The sequence below is a fragment of the Homo sapiens genome, chromosome 11 (assembly GCF_000001405.40).
Source record: "Homo sapiens chromosome 11, GRCh38.p14 Primary Assembly".
NCBI lineage: Eukaryota > Metazoa > Chordata > Mammalia > Primates > Hominidae > Homo > Homo sapiens.
In genome coordinates this window covers 37,710,864-37,732,126 of record NC_000011.10, presented here as the reverse complement: position 1 = coordinate 37,732,126, position 21,263 = coordinate 37,710,864, and the positions used below count along the sequence as shown (strand labels likewise).

The following is a 21,263-nucleotide window of genomic DNA, read 5'->3' as shown; positions in this document are numbered from 1 at the left end:
AGCTATGCATAAATTCAACTAGCATTTTAGAGAGGTGTTAAAAGGGGTCTGATGAGCATCCAGTATAATTTTATCTTAACAATGTGCTATTTGCATTAAATTTTTAAAAAGTGAATTTCTACCATAACTTCCACTTTCCTAGGTCTTCACAAAACAGCCTATTAGCCTAAATCAAAGCATAAGTTAAATGATTCTGCAAAGGTCCTTTCATGATTACTCAATATGTAAATACTGACATTAGCTGAGTAAGAGTGTGTGTGTGTGTGTGTGTGTGTGTGTGTGTGTGCGCGCGCGCGCGCGCGCACGTGTGTGTTTACCACAATCTTTTATTCTAATTTCTTTCCAGTAAATTTATAATAAGAGAAGTAGTCAGGAAAATGTCCCCTAGAATTTTATTTTGATAGGTAATGAAAATCACTAATCATTAAGTAAGTTAACATTTTCAAAGTGCTTAGAAAATTGCCTAGCATATACAAAACTATGTAAGTGTCTGACAAGGAAAAAGAAGTAAATAAATACTTTGAAAAGCATGATTGGTTAATCACATATCCATATTTCATGAAAATTATATGCTTTGGGTCTTCTGAGTATTGCAATTATCCGTGCTCTCTTTTCATGTGTATAATTGGATTATTGGATTTTAAGGCCTGAAAAAAAGACATAAAGAGAAAATATATATATTTTCAACATTAGTGTATTTACTCCATTTCTACTTTCTCTTCCTACCCAATGGGTTGTCTCTGGTTCTGCCTCGTCACAAAGGAAGGGTCATATGGAAGATGCAAAAAATGATCTACATAGCAGACACAGTTAATCTGGTTAGTGTCCTTTGATTTTGAAAAATGTCCAAATGTTGGTCCTTTCTCTCAAGGCTTGCATATTAAGAATATTCATACCCACTTCCCCCTTTTGATAATCACTCTTTATATCCAACCATCTGAACACTGTTTTCTCTCCTTCCTTCCTTCTCTCTTTGCACTCTTTCTTAGTGTGGAGGATATAATTTCTGGATGGAACGTTTGAAAAATGTTCCATACTCAGTTCTTGTCTGGGAAAGATTTAATACTCCACTTCCTTTTGGGGTAAATTAGAATGCATAATAAAATGCTTCAGCCACTTCTTGACTAACTTTAATTGAATTAATGCTTGTTCTGGCACATTCTTTACTTACTTCCATGAATGTCAATAAATATCAGTAGATTGTCATTCAACTCTAATGATTTTACCAAATACTCTGTTCTTTTTGTTTTAAACACTTATTCTCTTACAATTCCCTTTTTCTTATTAAGTAGTGCCACCAAGAGTGAATTTTTGAAGGAGCCTAGTAGAGGTATTTCTCTATGGGTCTTTAGTACTTTAAAATGGATTTGAAACTGAATTGTTTGAAATGATATTTTAGCATAACATATGACTCTCCCATCCCATGCTTGTTTCTTCTCCCTACATTTCATGAAGATTCTTTCAGTTGGAGTCTCAAAGCAGAACTCTTCAAGAGGGTGAGGTTCTCAGCCATGAGGCTGCATCTTTAGTCCCCTTTTGTGGGACTGACTCTGCCCATTCTGGACACAGAAAATACAAATCTCTGGTCCTATCCGTGGGCATGCAATTCAGTCTCAATCAGCTTTACTCCCTTAGACTTTTCTAGGTAAGAGGCATATACTCATTTTCTCTTCTGCAAACTTCAGATAACACATGAGAACCTTTCTAAGTGGTTGTGTTGAAGGCACCTTCACTTGGCTTAAAATGGCCAGTGTACCTGCTCCTATCCTGTTGGACAAGGGAGAAGAGCTAGACAGTTATTCAATAACACACTCCCAAGAAGTCCTCAACATGAATCCCTTCACAATCAGTGTTGCCCAGCCCTACCACTATGTTTGGCTTAAGTCTGCTTAATGGTTGAGAGGCCCAGAAAGCCAAAGGCCACCCTGATGGCAAGTCCTCCATAGGCAGTAAAATATTTCTCCTATAAAATACGGATATTGATACCTAATTCAGTTTAATTATGGAACTTCAGCCTAAACTAAGAATTAAAACAGTCTCCTTTTAATTGAATTAAGTGTGTAAATAATATAATGTTATTGTTACACAATGATGCTTCTCACAGACATCCCTGAAAGCAAGTTCAATAGATTCTTTGATCATCTGCTTCAATAGATTTCTATAAATGACTTTGAAATAGAAGTCACTGATAAAGACTGCTCATCAAAGAAAAAAAATCTTTCCATTTATCATCAGAAAAAGAAAAAGAATGAAAAATGTTTTATTTACATATGACATACTAAGATGAAACTATTCTTTATTGTGGAAAGATTAAATTTATGGTCATGTCTTATAAACAAAAAAAGTCTGAAAGACAAGTATTTAAAACTAAAGATTCATTCATCTTTTCTTGTCATAAGAGATTGAAAAATCATTAAATCTACACTGAATCCCCTTTAGCTCATTATTTTTAAGACTGTTTTATGACTAGCCCTGGAGCTTTTTATGGGAAATAGCTTACAGAAGAAGAAAACATGTGTGTCTTATTTCTGAGAGTTCTTTTGTTGTCCCAATAAACCACCCCAAGGTGTCTGGGAAATTAAAACACTCTCACATTCAAGCTATAGCTCTTACCTAGTTATTTTACTAAAATTCTATGTCAGATCACATCTGATTGTTCATTTGTAATATATAGTTCCTGCATTAATATTCCACTCTTATATTGAGTGGTACCGGCAAGAGCATACATGTAGTTTTCTGTCAAGTCTTAAAAATCATCATAATTATTGTGTATAAAGTTTTGCATATAAATTTTTCTTGTCTAATTTCTGAAATATTTTATTATTTTATTCATTTTAAAAGAGTTCACTGTGTTTCAGACCTCAGGATATAGTAACAGGGTATAAGTTCTGAAGCATTTTTCTAATCTTTACAAAGAAATTAAAAGATGCTTTGCCCAGCATTAATATTTTCATATTTTCCCCATGTACTTATTTAATTTCATTATTGGAATAATTATTTAGTTTACTTTAGATCTTACCACAGTATTTTAGGAAAACTACTGTCATTACTATTGCCTTATGTAGTAAGTAAATTACAGCATGAAATCATATTTACACACCTAAGATGAGTGTATAAGACATGGATGTTCTAAATTCTGTACAAATGTTTTAGGGCCAGTGCCATTAGCTTTACGTTATATTACCTCCTTACCAAAATTTTAGTTCTTTGAGGAAGTAGAAAACTTCTCATTTTTTCCAGGTATGTTATATAAAATTCAGATTAGTATTTCAAAGACATCCAAAAATGCTGAGAGAACTTAGGTCAGATTTAAAAGGGGTTACTGTATTTTTTAAAAATGAAGAACAGGTTCTTTGCACAGGCTTTTGAATCAGATATACTTGGGTTCACAATTCTGACAATCCCTCTTTCACATTTCCTTTTAATTTACTCACTGCATGACCTTGAGAAAGGTACTTAAATTTTCTGGGAACCACATTTCTTATCTTCACAATGGTATGAGATGATGTGAAGAAATAAGAACACTTTTACATGGTTGGTGGGAGTGTACATTAGTTCAACCACTGTGGAAGACAGTGTGGCGATTCCTCAAGGATCTAGAACTAGGAATACCATTTGACCCAGGATTCCCATTACTGGGTATATACCAAAATGATTATAAATCATTCTACAATAAAGACACATATGTTTATTGCAACACTGTTAACAATAGCAAAGACTTGGAACCAACCCAAATGCCCATCAATGATAGACTGAGTAAAGAAAATGTGGCACATATACAACAAGGAATACTATGCAGCCATAAAAAGAATGAGATCATGTGCTTTGCAGGGACATGAATGAAGCTGGAAACCATCATTCTCAGCAAACTAACACAGGAACAGAAAACCAAACACCACATGTTCTCACTTATAAGTGGGAGCTGAACAATGAGAACACATGGACACAGGAAGGGGAACATCACACACCAGGGCCTGTCACGAGGTGAGGGGCTAGGAGAGGGATGGCATTAGGAGAAATATCTAATGTAGATGACAGGTTGATGGGTGCAACAAACGACCCTGGCACCTGTATAACTATGTAACAAAACTGCACGTTCTGCACATGCATCCCAGAACTTAAAGTCTAATAATAATAATAATAATAATAATAATAATAATTTGTTTACATAGAAGTACTGCTTTGATGATTGTATAAAACAAAATAGCTACAGTCTAGTATGGTTTGTAGAAGAGTATTTCTTAAACTTCTTTATGCATTCAAACCACCAGGGAATTTTGGCAAAATGTTGATTTTTGATTCAGTATGTGCAAAGTGGGGCCCAAGAGTCTGCATTTCTAAGAAGTTCCTTCATGGTCCTTTGACTGCTCTTTTGGTTGCAAAGTCCTAGAAGTTTCTCATTAAGTAATATCTATTCTACCTTAATAATAATTGTTTTCTTTGATTGCCAATATGTTCTCATTTTATTGAAAGGGGTTCTGGAAATGCCACCCCAAGATATGCTGCTGTGGTACACTGATTACTTAAACTGAGCGTGCCTGGAAAACAGCCAACACAGAGAGGGCCTTTCTCTGAACTTCCTTTATTTGCCTAATGATGTGTCCTCTAAAGAGAAGTAAGTTATTATCAATCTCCTGCTCAGGAATCGCATCAACCAGCAAAGATTAATTCAGACCATAAGAGGGAAGACTGGAGGTCAGCACCATCCCCAGACAGAATTTCTCACAGGCTATCATCTATTTTTTTCTGGGGGCTCATTTATCTTTCTCTGAGATCGTTCACTCTCCCTTAAATTACTGATATTTCTCCTCCCCTCTCCCCTATAAAGAGGGTGTTTAAGCTTCCAGATCTCACTGGGTTTTTGAATGTTCACTTTTCTTTTCTGTGATGTCCCTGTGCACATATTTGTATACATTTTTGCCTGTTAATCTGCCTACTCTCAGTTTATCTGATGGGGTCAGTTATCAAATCCTCAGAAGATAGAGGAAAAGATTTCCCTCCTCTATACTTTATAAAAAATAACAAACTCTTTCATTTTTATATTAGTAATCCATTACTCTTAGAAGTGTATTTTCTTTTCCTTTTTTGTTACTTTATTATTTTATTTTAAAATGTATGTATTTAAGATGCACATGATGTTTTGATATATGTATACACAGTGAAATGATTACTACAGTGAACAAAATTATATATACATATGTGTGTGTGTATATCTCCTGGTGTGTGTGTGTGTGTGTGTGTGTGTGTAATGAGAGCACTTGTAATCTACTCTTCTAGCAAATTTCTAGTGTAAAATAGTTTAATTAACCATAGTCAGCATGCTGTACTTCAGATGTTTAGAATTATTCATCCTACATGATTGAAACTTTGTACCTTTTTAACCAACATTTTCCAATTTCCCCCACCTCTCTAGTCCTGGCAACCACTATGCTACTCTCTAGCTCTATGAATTTGACTTTTTAAGGTTCTTCATGCAGTATATTTCTTTCTGTTTCTGGATTATTTCACTTAGCATAATGTCCCCCTTGTTCATCCATGTTGTTGCAAATGGCAGGATTTTCTTCTTTTTAAAGGCTAAATAGTATTCACATTTATGTGTGTATGCATATCACATTTTAAGAAAAGAATTTTTCTTGTTTTATGAGCATAAAACTCAATAGCATACATTTCACCCAGTTCGGTGGCAAGTTCTTTAGCCTTTGCCATTTCCAGGTTGGCAATGCAAGCCACAGATTTTGTACCCAGGATATTTCCTTCCCAGAGAGGATGATACTTCATCATATCTGTCCTTGTCATCGGTCATGATAGCTTCCACCAGTTTAGCCAGAGCTCCTTTTTCTTTCGAGGTAACCTGTGTGTGAAGGCAATGGTAGTGCAGGTCTTTCTGTGTACTAGAGTCCAGTCTGGCCTTCCCATAGTTAATGCAATGGAACCACCCATCTTCTGACACAGGGCAGATACATCCAGCTCTGTGGGATCTGTGTCATATGCAGTCACCACCAGCTGAGCCTTCTTGTTCTCCACCAAAGTGGTGTCAGTGCCAATCTCTGCTTCAAGAATAGGAGGTCTCTTAGTGGGACATCCTGTTTACCAGCAGCTTTCTTTTCAGCCTGAACTAACAACCTCTGCTTGTTCTCATGCTTTGTGTCTGGTCTGTACTTGTGGGCCAGCTTAAGCAGTTGAGCCCTTGTTTAGCAGCTCAAGGCCTGGGTGAACTGGTTAATTGCAAGAGCCACTTTCAACCTCATTTAGAAAGTAGCCCTTTTCCAGGGCAACTGGACATAGCAGTGCCATATGACAAGGTGGGTAAGGTCCCTTTTGGGCAGGTTGTCCCGTCCAAGGCCAAAATTCTTAGGTCTTTTCTCTAAGAGGAGATTTACCACCTTCTTGGTCTGCTGCTTCTTCACAACAGCAGGAGCTGGAATCCCCTTCTTTTCCTTGCCCTTCTTTCCTATTGGCATCTTGAGCGACTGAAGGAGAGACTATACCATATATTCTTTGTCCCTTTATCTGTTGATGGGCACTTAGGTTGTCTCTATACCTCAGCTATGGTGAATAATATTGCAATGATCATAGGAATGCAGATACCTCTTTGAAGTACTGATTTCATTTCCTTGGGTGTATATTCAGAAGGGAGATTGCTGGTAGTTCTGTTTTTAATTTTTTTAAGGAAACTTCATACTATTTTTAATAAGGGCTGTATGAATTTACATTTTGCCAGTGATGTACAAGGATTGTCTTTTCTCCACTTTCACCAATAATTATCTCTTATCTTTTTGATGATAGTCATCATAACAGGTATGGGATGATATTTCCTTGAGGTTTTGATTTACATGTACCTGATGATTAGAGATATTTAATATCCTTTCATATACCTCTTGGCCATGTTTTATGTCTTCTTTGTAAATATGTCTATTTAGGTCTTTTGCTCATTTTTAATTTATGTATTTTTTTGCTATTGAACTGTGCTTCTTATATAGTTTGGATATTAACCCTTTATCAGATATCTGGTTTGCAAATATTTCCTTCCGTCCATAAGTTGGTTGCCTTTTCATTTTATGATTGCTTCCTTTGCTGTGCAGAAGATTTTCAGTTTGATGTAAAACCGCTTGTTTTGATTTTCTTTTTTTCTGTTGTCGCCTGAGCTTTTGGTGTGATATCCAAAACACCATTGTCTGTCAAGGAGCCAACGTCAAGGAGCTTTTCCTGTGTGTTTTCTTCAAGAAGTTTTATGGTTTCAGGTCATACTCTTAGGTCTTTAACCCATTTTGAGTTGATTTGGAGTACTTTAGATCTCAGATCTCACAAATGAGCTGATGTGTCAAGACTCAATCATGGAGTAAAAATACAAATGTCAGGAAAAATTTTTGCTACATGTGACCCAACTGCTAAACAAAAAAAAAAAAACTATGTTTTTAAAAGTGTAAATAAGATTTCGATAAGTATGAGACAGAAACAGAGATCTGAATATGTTCTAATGTTATCAATTGCTGGAAGGGTTTACAAACCTTAGGAAATTTGGCAGAGGCAAAGACGGATTGACGTTGCTTTAGTTGTTCAGATTTTTTGTTTATTTTAAGATCCTATCCGCACACAACAGTGCCAGAAACAATATGGAAATTGACAGAACATTAAATCCCCTTTAGAGGAAAACTGATAAGCTACAGGCAGTGGAATGCTGAGAGACAGATGAAGGGACTTTAGGTAATCAGAGCAAAAATTGCTGCCTGATGGGATCCCAGCAGCAAGAACTTCATTTTGTAAAATACTTGATGACTTTTTATGGTGCTATAGCATTTGGGCTTTATGTTGTATGATATTCACCCAGTGACAGGCTGACCCTCTTCTCCTCCAATAAGTTATCTGTTCTCCCTAGAAAAGTAATTCTGTTGCTGTCTTGCCAAAGATGAACTCATGAATCAGTGATGTGGGCAGAGGTGGCATCCCAGATAGCATTCTGAAAAATCCATAAATTCTTTAAGAAAGATCTTTTCTCTACTGCTGTCGGGTGCTATTATTCCTAAATCACACAATTCTATTTGGAATCTTGAGGTGGTCTGGAAAAGTGCCCTAAGGAGCTAAAGGAAGAGAAAACTATGAAAACAAAAGTGCCAGAGAGATAGGATATTTTATTATTGCACAAAGGTCAAGAAGAAAGATGTAGGGCATGTCACTTTCAGTAACAATTAAAACACTACAATTTAATTTATATCTGAGCTGTATTACACTCTCAACGAGATACAAAGTTTTAGGATCAATGAGCAATATGTTCTAAGTCAATTTTAAATTTCATTGAACGAAGATCCTCAAATTGGAAAAAAAAAGAGAGATAGAGAGAGAGAGAGGGAGAGACAGAAAAAAGACTTTGTGGAATCTGAGTCCCAATATTTTGAAGAACAGAATGGCCTGCATATGCAAGTTATGTCATATGCATATAAACAAGGATAACTAGTTCTCTATTACCTAAAGACTCTTCTCATAAGTATCTTACGTCTAAAGTACAGTATCTTTAAATTTGGGCAAAGATTCACTCATATATATCCTTGCATGCTTGGCTCCTAACCTTGTCACAGACACATAATTGTTGGTCAGCAGAGAGTATATTAAACAGAAAAATCAGTGATTTTAAGTGTAGTGTAGAGTGGATTGTATGAATTTATATTTGGCAAGATAAATCATTAGGAGAATTAAAAAGAAATACTATGTAAGGTTTTTGCTTCCTTTTATGTTTTCCTTTCCTATGGGCAAAAGTTTTCATTTAATTTGTGATGGCAAATAGCTAGTTGTCCTCACTGGACTTTCTTTTGAAATACTTAAGAAAACACTGCAGAGTATTAACCATAAAACTTGTGAAAACTAAGACTATCTGTAAGAGAATTTCCAATGTCTAGGATGTTTTACCCTAATTAATATACTTAAGCTACAAACCCTGTTAAGGTCAGTCCTTTCCAAGAACAACTCATAGTCATTGATTAGATTTTATCTCTTCTTTTTCTTTATTAATTCAGTCAGTTAACAAGCATAGCAATATGCCAAGTTGGTGATACAATTATGAGTAGTTGGAATAATGGAAGGAGGGTAATGAAAGGGATAATGAAAGGGATCTTTAAGAGTGCTGTTAGAATGCAAACATATTGCAAGCTAAGATAACTGGTATTTTGGACAAATAACAATATTGTATTTAATAGTGAAATAAACTAGATGAATTTTTATCAATATGAGGGAAAATAAGGCATTCATAATATCACTATTTAACAAATCTGGGAGTATTCCTTGACAATTAAATAAGATAAGAAAAGTATTTCTAAGATTTAAGTAACTATTATTTATAGAATACTTATTATCAAATTGAAAGTCTAATGAATATGTTTTGAAACAGTTTTAAATCTCCAGTAAATGTATTTAGCAATATGAGTAGTAACAAAATAAATATAAAATAAAATAAAAATAAATAGCTATAGTGTTTCTGTGCCATACCATATAGTATATCATCAAATAAAAACAGCATTTTAGGAGCAATGAAATAATAAAATTTCTAGGAAGAAAGCTACACACACACACACACACACACACACACACACACTCACACACACACACACACACACATTGATTATATGAAGAAAACTATACTATATTAATGAATGACATTAAAAAGGAAGACAGACACATTGTGAATCATTACCTAGAAAACAGAGAGAGGCAATAATGAGAGAGCGAAGGAAGAAACTAGAACTCTTTTTGATAGTTCGCCTTTAAGAATATTTCAATCAATAGGTGCATACCTGCAAAATTTCCCCAGGTTTGGTCTCACCCCTTTCCCCTAAATAAACTTATTCACTTTTTGGCATTTGTTGATGGTGGCGCTATCTCCCCATTCTTTTATTTCAGCTGTAATATCTAGGAATGCTTTGCCAAATACCAATATTCCAAATTGTTATAATAATTTCTAGGGTGCCTGTTGTAGGAGATGGGAGAATTATAAAGATCTGTTATGGTTTTCTTTTGGTTCCAAGGGACAAACATCTGAGCATAATAAAATTATGAGAAATATCAATTCTTGGATTTCTTTTTCCTCTCCTTGTCTCACCCACTCTCCAGATATTTTTACTTAGAGACAATCAAGGCTACCTGAAATTCAGTGAGTCATTTTTAAATATTGAGGACTACCAAAAAGCCAGCATACTAAAGTTGAAAAAGGAAAATGAGATTGGAATAAATAATAAAGTAGGTGAGGGAAATTATTTAGTTACTCAGTGTGGTCAGTTGGGCTACCTTCTCAGACCAATAATGAGAAATTGGTTGTGTGCTTTTATCTTGCCTGAACCAGAAGGAAAGATCAGCAATACAAGCAGCCAGATATCAAAATCAGAAAAATAAATGACTCCATGCTCATGCTAATAGTAAAGAGATATGAAAAATTCTGCCTAGGATCATTCTGAGCTCATGATGATTCATAGTAGAGATCCAGAAGATAAAATTGTATCCCATTGTGTTTGAGAACTTACGGAGAAAATGTATAATAGTTGTGTTTCATTCAAGAGAATTGTAGGGCCTGAATGCATTTTTTCTTGTCTATATTACAACGTTTAAACTCAGTGTTTACTAGAAATTCAGCACAAATTCCTAGGCTACTGGTTTGGGCTCTGGGTAATATAATCTACCCTTCTATAACACCCTGGGCATGATCATTTAATTTGAGAGTGATACATAGATACTAAAAGGACAGCTCCTATGATCAAGTGACTGAAGTGCAGCATTTATATAAGATGTTGAGAGTGTGCTGTTCTCTGGCCTTCAGAGGCAATAAATGTGGTGCAGCTAGCAACCTTGCTGACTACGGCCTGCTCTTAATATAAATTTTATCATAGTTTCAACCTTTATGTCGATTATGTAAACTAATCAAAATATTTCCAATACAATATTTTCCTGTTTTATTTATCCAGAGTTAATTTCTACTGTTGGCAGACAAGAATTGGCATATAATTCATGTGTATTTATGTGCAAATTTTGTGTCCATTCTAGTTAAAATTCCAAATAAAGCAAAAATACAAATTGTCAACAATATTGTTAAATATTATTCTAGAAATGTGGATCCATTAAGATCACTTGATATAAAAAAGAAGGATAATTTTTGTGATAAAAGCATACCATTATTATTTGTAGATGATATAATTATATAATTAGAAAACTCAGATAATCAACTTAAAATTTATATAAAAAATTTTTAAAATATGAGACAGATATTAGTAACATATATAAAAATCAAATAAAGAATGAATAGCCCAATCAGAAGACAAAATGGAAACAAATATTTCACATACATAACAGAAGAAAATATTCTAATGCCTAACAAAATACGCTTGGGTTTTCCCAATGAGAAATATAAAGTGAATAAAATAAAATGAAACAAAACAAAACAAAACAAATACAAACAAAATCTACCAAACTTTACTGGGAGACATTTATGACCTGAAAAAATATCAGAAGAGTGATATGGGTATTAATTGCTGCATAATAAACCATCTTAAATTAAGTGGCTTAACAATAACCACAGATTCTGTGGTGAGGATTTTAGATGGTACAACAGGGATGACTAGTCTCTCCTCTCCACTATATCTGGAGCTTCAGTTAGAAAAACTCAGAATGTTGTGTTGACTCAAGCAGGTGTGGGCTGAAATTATCTAAAGGTGTATTCATTCATATGTCTGTCATATGTCTGGTAACTGGGATGGAAGAACGCGACGTTTAGGTTGCCAACGTTTAGTATTGTCAACCAAAGCACCTACACATGGCTTTTTTGTGTGTGACTTGTATTTCCCTGTGTCTGGATCCTAAGAGAAAACATCCCCCAAGGAAAGGCTGTAGCCAAGAGCAAGGTGGAAGCTGCATGGTCTTCTCTGAGTCAACCTAAAAGTCACACAGGATCACATCTGGCACATTCTATCTGTTACAGAAAAGGCACTCTCTCCAGCCTAGACTCAAGAAGAGAGGAATGAGACATTGTCTCTTGAAGGGAAAATGGCAAGGTCACACTGCAGAAGATCAAGTGGAATGGGAGATATTGTTGACTATCTTTACAAAATACAATCTGCTACAGATACGAAATATTTATTTACCCAATGTGAAACCAAATTAAAAATGATACAAACAATCCATCTGGATTGATTTCCTTGATTTTCAGATACTTTAGGTATATTATTAATTTAATACCAGTTTTTCTAGAGAATATGCATTGCAATCATGATATGTAGTCCACTGCAGGAAAGTTAAATTTAGATATTCATTTCCAATTTATTTTGTGGCCAGAAATGTCAGCTAATGCCTTATAAATATAATTTGATTATATCTCACTGCAATCCAGTGAGTCTATAATATCCTGATTTTACAAATAAGAAAACTGAGGTATAAATCAGATGGTAAAATGTATAGTAAACTTACAAAAATAAAAATGCCATATCAGTGCATAGATATTATAATAAAAATAAAGGTTGTACCCAAACAAATTTTACGTAAATATTTATCTCTCTGTCTCCCTCTCTGTCTCTCTCCTCCTCTCTCATTCTGTGTGTGTGTGTGTGTGTGTGTGTATGTAAAGTCTAAAGATGGTTTGGTTTATTCAACAAATGGATCTATAAAATTAACTAAATTAATCTGGGTGAAACACTGTCAGCACATTTTTTGGCACTGTTTTGTAAAATTTTAGTTTTAGAATAGTAGTAGAATTACGGAAAAAGTGAAGATTATACAAAGAGTTTCCTTTCACCCCACATCTGGATTTTCTTTAACAAACATCTCACACAAATGTAGTAGCATAGTCATTATTAATAAAACAATATTTTTAAATGATTATGAATTAAAGTCTACATGTTATTTATTTTTTTAGTGTTTGCTTAATGCCCTTTTTATCTTCCAGGATACCATCTAGGGTACATTACATTTAGTCACCGTATTATCTTGGGCTGTTTGCTGTGAAAATTTCTCATAATGCCCTGTTTTTTGAAAAACAGTCTTGAAGTTTACTCATCAAGTACTTTGTAGAGCATTCTTCAATTCAAATTTGTCTGATGTTTCTCTCATGATTAAACTGGAGTTCGGTTTTTGGGAGGAAGACCTCAGCTGTGAAGGGTCATTTTCATGACATCATATTAAGGGTACATACTATTGAGGTGGGAGATCAACAGGACTTGTTTTCCAAGCACTGGTCACGGCCCCATTTGTGACCCCCCTGATCAGAGCAGTATCTGGTCTAAACAGGGTATAGTGAGGAAACCAGCCCAAACCAGCAGACAGCAAGGAAAAATAACCTCTAGTTGCCCTTACTGCTCATTAGCATAGACACTCTGTCTGGCACCATAATAGTTTACAAATGCCATTGCAACAGGACATGGCAGTGGTCCAGAAGTTACCTTATATGGTTCCAGGAACTCTGCCCCTTTTCTAGAAAGTTCTAAATGACCTGTCTCTTAATTAGCATGTAATTAAAGTTGGTATAAATATAGCTGCCAACAGCCCACATGATGCTACTCTGGGCACACTGCCCATGGGGTAACCCTGTTATGCAAGGATTGGTACATCTGTTGCTGCTGTACACTGCAGCTTTCATAAAAGTTGCTTTCCAGTACCAATGGCTCACCCTTGAATTCTTTCCTGGGCACAGTCAAGAACCCTCCCAGGCTAAGCCCTAATTTTGAGGCTCACCTGTCCTGCATCACTATCAATATGACTTATAACTATTGATGCTATTGTTGATCACCTGGCTAAAACAGTGTTTATTAGGATTTTCCATTCTAAGCTTAGTATTTTCCTACTTTTTAGTACTGTATTCTTTTGAAGGAAATCAATGTGAGTAGCTCACACTAATGGAGTGGGGAATTATGCTCCATCATGTTGAGGATGAAGTACCTATATATATTATTTGTAATTTTTCAGTGTATAAGATTTGTCTATTCACCCTCATTTAGTTATTTGGTTATTTATAAGTATAGACTCATGGATATTTATTTTATACTTCAAATTATAATCCAATACTGTTTTATTTGTTGTATTGTTCAAATTGTCCCAGTTTGGGGCTCTGGAATTTCAGCTGACTTCTGTATCCATTTAACCGAGCCCCATGTTTTTGGAATTTTTGAGCATTTTGTTTTATTTCTATGAGAGGCTCCAGTCATTTTGTTTATTTCCTATTCCAATCCTCGAATCAGCCATTTATCTAGGGAGTTCTGCATCCTTTCAATGGACAATGGTATTAGAAACCAAGGTTTGGGTGCCTAGGTCATTCTTTTAACTTTTATGTTGAGGTAGTTAGCAACTCACAATAAAAGTATAGAAATAACACAGAGTTCCTGTGTACCATTCATAAAGTCTCCCTCCATAGTAACACATTACAAGACTATAAAACATTATCATAACCATAAAACTATATTACTTATATTTCTTATTGAATCATGTAGAATAAATAAATAATACTTTGATTATTGAAGTTTTTTTCTGATGTTCACTTGGTCAAGAATAAGCAAAAAATGTGAATAGAAGATATAGTATCATCTCTTAAAGCTTAGTCAGTGATAAGACAGGTGAGTACCAGCCACTGGAATGTTCTGAGAAACTAAGGATGCCATTGGCTCTCCATTATCACTGGAGATTGATAATAATTATACTGTCTACTTTTTATCAGTATCTGCTTTCTCCTTCTCTCTCCTCCCCACTCTCTCTGTCTCTTCAAATTTCTTTTTCTGATTTTTCTTGCTCATATACACGAAACATCTAATTATCAATTCATAACTCCATCCTCACAAAGAGATTGGTTATATTTAAAACTCAACTTTGAAGGGAGAAAGGAATAGGAAATAATTCAGGAAATATTGAAAGAAGGGAAGCCTTTGAGATAGAATAAGAGATTCTATTATTAAAAATTGGTCAGGTATTAATGAACAAGACAATTACCCGGATTCAGACAAGCTAGGTCAAAAACACAAATTAGACTGCCAGGTCTTCCTTTTTTGGGGAGATGGGTATCTGAAAGGGAGATATATTATAGTTTTGTATTTGCTCACAATAATTCTTCCTCAAAATACATTATTTCATTAATACAGCAAGTTCACAAGAGTTTTCAGTGTCCTCAAGGGTCACAGGCCTTCTTTCCCCTCTCAAAAACCTCATTATATGGAGGGAACAGCCTCTCTATTTACCATCTGTCTATTATCTATCTATCTATCTATCTATCTATCTATCTATCTATCTATCTGTCTATCATTTTTCCTTGATGGTTAATTTAATTGAAAAAATCTTATAAAATTTATTTGACATGACATTGATTATTCTGATGCTCTATGGCAAATTTTCTTGGCTGAGAATACCAAGGAAAAACTGGAGATTATTTCTAGAAGAAAAAAAAGCAAATTAAAAAGCAAGGACAAAAGAAAAAACCTCATATAAACTGTTTCTATATGCCCATTTGTACCTGTGAGACAATGCCAATTCTACATTGTATAGGATTTTCAGTTTTGAGGAAAACTCTCTTCAAGTAGACATCAAGATGATAGCAACAGCATCTTTTAGGGGAATACCCAACCCTCCTGCATATAGATCCCTGGCTTGATGACAAAATGACGAGACTACATTAATCACACGCTAACCAGCCAGAAAATAAGAAGTGCACAATAAGAAGTTATCTTGAAAAAGAATCAGCCACAAGTTTAAAGGGATAGTAACTTTCACCAGCTTTAAAACTTTTACACAAATCCCTTGTATTCTATGTTTAAACGAATCCAGTTTTTCGCTCCAATTATTTAATGCAGAAGTACTTATTATAATAACTTACATTTAATACTAGATTTTTTAATTTTCCAAATTTATTCAAGGATATGTAATAAAAACCCTATTTGTATGCATTTTTCTTCTGAAGACAGAGTGGCACTTGACAGATTTTATGTCTTTGTCACTGCCTACAGTAACTGAGTTAAAAATAGCTAATGATAGAAGAGATAATAGAACTCCCATATTTTCATTATAATTAGATATTAACCTAGTCATTCCTTGCCTTCCTCATCCACAACATTTAAAACTTCAAGAGCAATCCCTGCTAAAAAAATGAGGAGTAAAATCAAATGAGAAATCCAAAGCCGCGTGTTTTCATCCCAGGCTGTGATATGTCATCATGCGTTACAGCTATCATTTATGAGTAAACACTAAATTAAATGCTAGATAATGGAATTACAATGGTTTATTAATGATGGATAATGTTTATCTGAAAAATTTAAAAGCTTCTAAAACAAGGTCTTTTATTTTAAAATATCTTTTTTGTTATTGTTGACAAAAAGAGTAAATTGAAATCTATCATGGAAGGAAAGCACTCTTAATTACAAAAGCCCTTTTTATTTGATATGATCAGTTCTGCAGACATATATAAGCAGAGATAAGAAATGATAGATAATAACTGACAAATATGTAATGTTTCCCTGAAGAGAGAGGTGACTGAAAAACAGATCTTTTTAATGTTACTGTGATAGATTTCTACCAGTTAGTTTTGTACACTTATTTCCTCCAGTCTATCTCCAAAGGTGAGCAAAGAAAAAAGCCTCCATATTTCAGTAGGTGACCACCTGAAATAAATTTACCGAAACAGCTTTAAAAAGTGGGAAAGCTTTATAAAGCAATTAAAATGACACCATTGGCTAGATTCTTGACTTTCCTACCATGATAGCATAATTATCTTTCCTTTTTTCTTTCTGTTCTTGTATTCGTGTATGTGAAATTCTATGCCATGCATCTTGAATTCTCAGGATATCAGAAATCTGATGACCTGAGTTTTCGCTTCCCCTCTAACACTCTCTGGCACTGGGAGCAGAACATCTTCCTCTTGCTTAATATTTTCTTCTTGTCAAATTGCTTCAAGTCTCTTATTTTCTGATTCCACCCATGTAAGATATAAACAATGTATCTAGCTGTTAATCATAATTTCTCCAAAAGAATAAACAAACAAACAAAAACCTTTTTTCACACAAGATATTAGCATATGGAAGAGCAGGTGGAATACAGTGAGTTGTTTTTCCCTTGCTGGTGGAAAGTGTATGTTTCAAAAACTGTTTGGAAAAAATTTTTTTCCTACTTTCCATGATAGATGTCAAATTGTATTTCTCTGTCTATGAACATTTCTTACTGAATTTCAATTAGAGGAATAAGAGTAACAAAATCAAGGAACAGTGATAGTAAATTCTCCTCCTAAACACTACCATCTACTTCCCCATTACTACATTTTATTTCTCTCTATAAAAACAGAAGTGGCTGTCAATGTATAACTCCACAAAAAGCTTCTACCACCAAGGAAACCTCATAGGATTAAAAACTCTGTGTCAAGAATCAGGGTCAAAGGCAAAATATTTGAGGAAAGTATGCTCCTAGCACACCTATCACTTAGAAAATTACAAAGGATTTTAGAAGCTCTATGCCAGGAACAGGGGACAAAGGCCAAAATATATAGTCATGTCTTGCATAATCATGTTTTGATCAACAATAAACCACATACATGATAGTGGATCCATAAGATTATAATGGAGCTGAAAAATTCCATAGCCAAGTGACATCTTAGCTAGTGTAACATCATAGTGAAATTCATTACTCACATGCTGGTGTTGATACTGGTGTAAAGAAACCTACTGCATTGACAGTCTTATAAAAGTATAGCACGTACAATAATGTGCAGTACATAATACAACTTGATAATGATTATAAATGACTATGTTACTGGCTTATGCATCTCCTACACTATACTTGTTATTTTAGAGTATACTCCTTCCAGTTATACACATATATGTATAACTATACATATTTATAACATATATATGTATGTATATATCTAACTGCAAAACAGCCACAGGCAGGTCCTTCAGGAGGAATTCAAATAGAAGGCATTGTTGTCATATGAAACACTACTCCTGTTTCTGTTACTGCCCCTGAAGACCTTCCAGTGGGACAAGATGTGGAGGTGGAAGACAGTGATATTAATCATCCTGACCCTGTGGAGGCCTAGGTTAATGTGTGTGTTTTGCATCTTATTTTTAACAAAAAATTTAAAAAGTAAAAAATAAGGTAAAATACAAAAAGCTTATAGAATAATGATATAAAGAAAAAGTATTTGTTCAGCTATGAAATGTGTTTGTGTTTTAAGCTAATTCTTAAGCATCAAAAGCATCAAAAAATAAAAGTTTATAGAGTTAAAAAGTTACAGTAAACTAAGGTTAACTTATTATTGAATACAAATATTTTTTATAAATTTAGTGTAGCCCAAGTGTACAGTACTTATAAAATCTACCATAGTGCACGGTAATGTCCTAGGCCTTCATAATCACTTACCACTCACTCACTGACTCACCCAGAGCAACTTCCAGTCCTGCAACCTCCATTTATGGTAAGTGTCCTGTACAGATGTACTATGTTTTATCTTTTATGCCATATTTTTATTTTACCTTTTTTACATCCAGGTGTGTTTAGATACATAGATACGTATCACTGTATTACAATTGCCTACAGTATTCAATACTATGACATGCTGCACAGCTTTGTAGCCTATGATCAATAGGCTGTACTGTATATAGCCTACGTGTATAGGTGGCTATACCATCTAGGTTTGTGTAAGTACAATCTGTGATGTTCACATGAGAATAGAATCATCCAATGACCCATTTCTCAGAATATATCCTTGTTGTTAAGCTATGCATGACTATTTCTTATTATAAATCACAATAACCACTGTAAAATCTAGAGTCACATGGTTTTGAATAAGAAGGCACCAGGTTGGCCAGATATATAGAGGGAATTATACATAAAACTTAAAATATTTGCAGTTATATATTACCTACTTAACAAAACAGATAATATTATACACTCAATGTATAGTAGCTCCATGGCTTTGAGAGGGATTTGATAAATTTCAAATTTCCAAAATTAGGGACTTAATTTTCTCAGTTTACGGAATACACACCATTCTCCTAGTGATTAATTCATATTATCCATGTTCACAGGGCACAGGTGTGCAACATCTTACAGAACACAAAAGGAATATCTGCAGGTATACTCTGGGCAGAAGGCACTGGATTATCAATGACTTTGAAAGGAAAGGCAAATTAGGCATAACTCAGTCAAAATAAAGTACAGTGAAACTAGTTGTTTTAAAATACTGATTCTAGTAGTGGAAGCCAGACCCTGATATTTGCAATATTCACTTTGGCAGTACCAGGCGTTTGCTAAGGAGATGAACATATCAAAAGATCATTTTCCTAATGTGTAGAAATTCCATTCTGAGCTAAATCTGTTCATATGCATCCTGCCTTATTCACAAATATGAAAAGCACATCTTGTTTAGGCACTATATATCTCTTATTTTTTGATGTTTTTGTTTGCTTACTTTTAAATAATTTTCAAGCACATTACCAGTGAAAAAGTTAAGCATAAATGCTTCACAAAGACCTGAGTGACTTAAAAACCTTTCTCAGGAAAAAAAAAAAGTCTTAGAAAATGAATTGAATATATATGAAAATTTAGCATGCAGCTACTGCAAGACAGAGTGAAGGATCCCCGCCATGCACAGGGAACACAACAAAGACCCAAGAGATGCACTTAGAAGCCATGGCAGATGGGTCTGTTAAGACAGAGCAGACCAATTAAGGTTGTATTTGGAGCACTCCGTCACCCCTAGAGGACAGAGAGAAAAACGAAAGGAGGAGGCCCTGCATTTAGTAACTGCTCAGATTGCAAAGCTGTGTATGAGAAGTATGTCCCTGGGAATGAGATGCTTTTTATTTGTACTGTGCTTTTTTTCTTATGCATTGTGATCAGCATTCAGGGATTCTCTACTACACTGGGTGTTATTTTTATCTTTCAAAGGAGCACAAATGAAGCCTGGTTCCCGTTGCTGTGTTTTTATTTAGTTCACATTTACTCCCCAAGACACGTCTTTTTAGCAGCTTGGATAGTAGGACTCTTCTGGAACAACCCCACAGGAGAGGGACAGAGCAAGTCACCAGAGTTTTAAGCATCTTCTTAGAGTTAGACTGAATTTATCTTAAGATAAAAAAAGCACCCTTTTCTAAATGTCAATAGCTTCTCTAAGCTACCTAGGTGGCTCTGCCTGCTCCTTAAAAGTAACTATATTTGAGGGAAAGGAAAGAGCTCAACAAAATACGTGGAAATGCTTTAACTAAATCTTATGTACAATTATAGACAATTACACATGCAAAATCCAATAACAGATACCAAATAATCTGACAATTATTTTGGGGGGATAGGTACTATTTTTCAATATTGCTAAGTAGCTGAAGTTAAGGCACTGCTTAGTTACAGCTTCAAAGCAAAGAAGATTTTTTTTTTTTTTACTTCCAAAATATTTCCCCTTTCTAATTATTTGGCATTGACTAAAATTCTCATACACTCATTCCCATCAATTAAGGCAATAAAAGTCACTACTAAAATTTAAATGTCATTTGGGAAGGATATTTCAGATTGATTAACTAACCGCTTGGGGAGAAAGTGCAATATTTGTTAACCTCTAATTCTTTGCCAGACAGTATGTTAGAGATGCTTTCAAAGTTATCTGCTTCAATTCTAATTATTTATATACAAAGTAGATATTGTTACTTCCATATTAAGAATGAGGAAACTAAGGCTTACTGCCATTAAATAACACGTTTAAGTTTGCACTGCTAGTAGATTAACCTGAAAATTCTAGTCAGTTTGAGTCCAAGCAGACTGGTTCTTTCTGCCACATTTCCTCCCTAGCAAACATCTTGGAAAAAATGGTTGGGGCAACTACATTTTAATGTGAAAAAAAAATGCTTTAAAAAGTATTGTTATAGAGAACTGGTGGGAAAATCTTTAGTAGTCTTCATGAAAGGAACAGAGGGAAGAGAACGTTCTACAGAGATGTTCATGTTCGTGTGTGTGCTCTGGGTATGTGTGTGCAGGGGTAGGGTGGGCTTTCCTCAACATACAGTTCTCAGATCTTTCCCCAAGTGTTGCTACTCTTGAGTATACTCTTTGAGGATACTCTTAGGTAAAACACTCAGAAAATAGAGTAAAGCCTTCCTGCTGCCTAATGAGAAGCATTCTATCATCACCAACCCAAGCTTCTGAAGTCTGGTTATTTGGTATAGCCTAAGAAAAGTTATTCCAAAAGAAAGGAAAATATTACTGATTCCTGGTCAGAGGACAGAAACCCAATCACTCTATACAAATCCATTTTAAGTCAAGTGATTTAGTTCAAATGAGGG

General features: G+C 34.7%; 1 pseudogene; it reads right to left on the bottom strand.

Moving 5' to 3' along the window:
• RPL7AP56 (ribosomal protein L7a pseudogene 56) lies at nt 5,637–6,482 on the bottom strand (annotated as a pseudogene).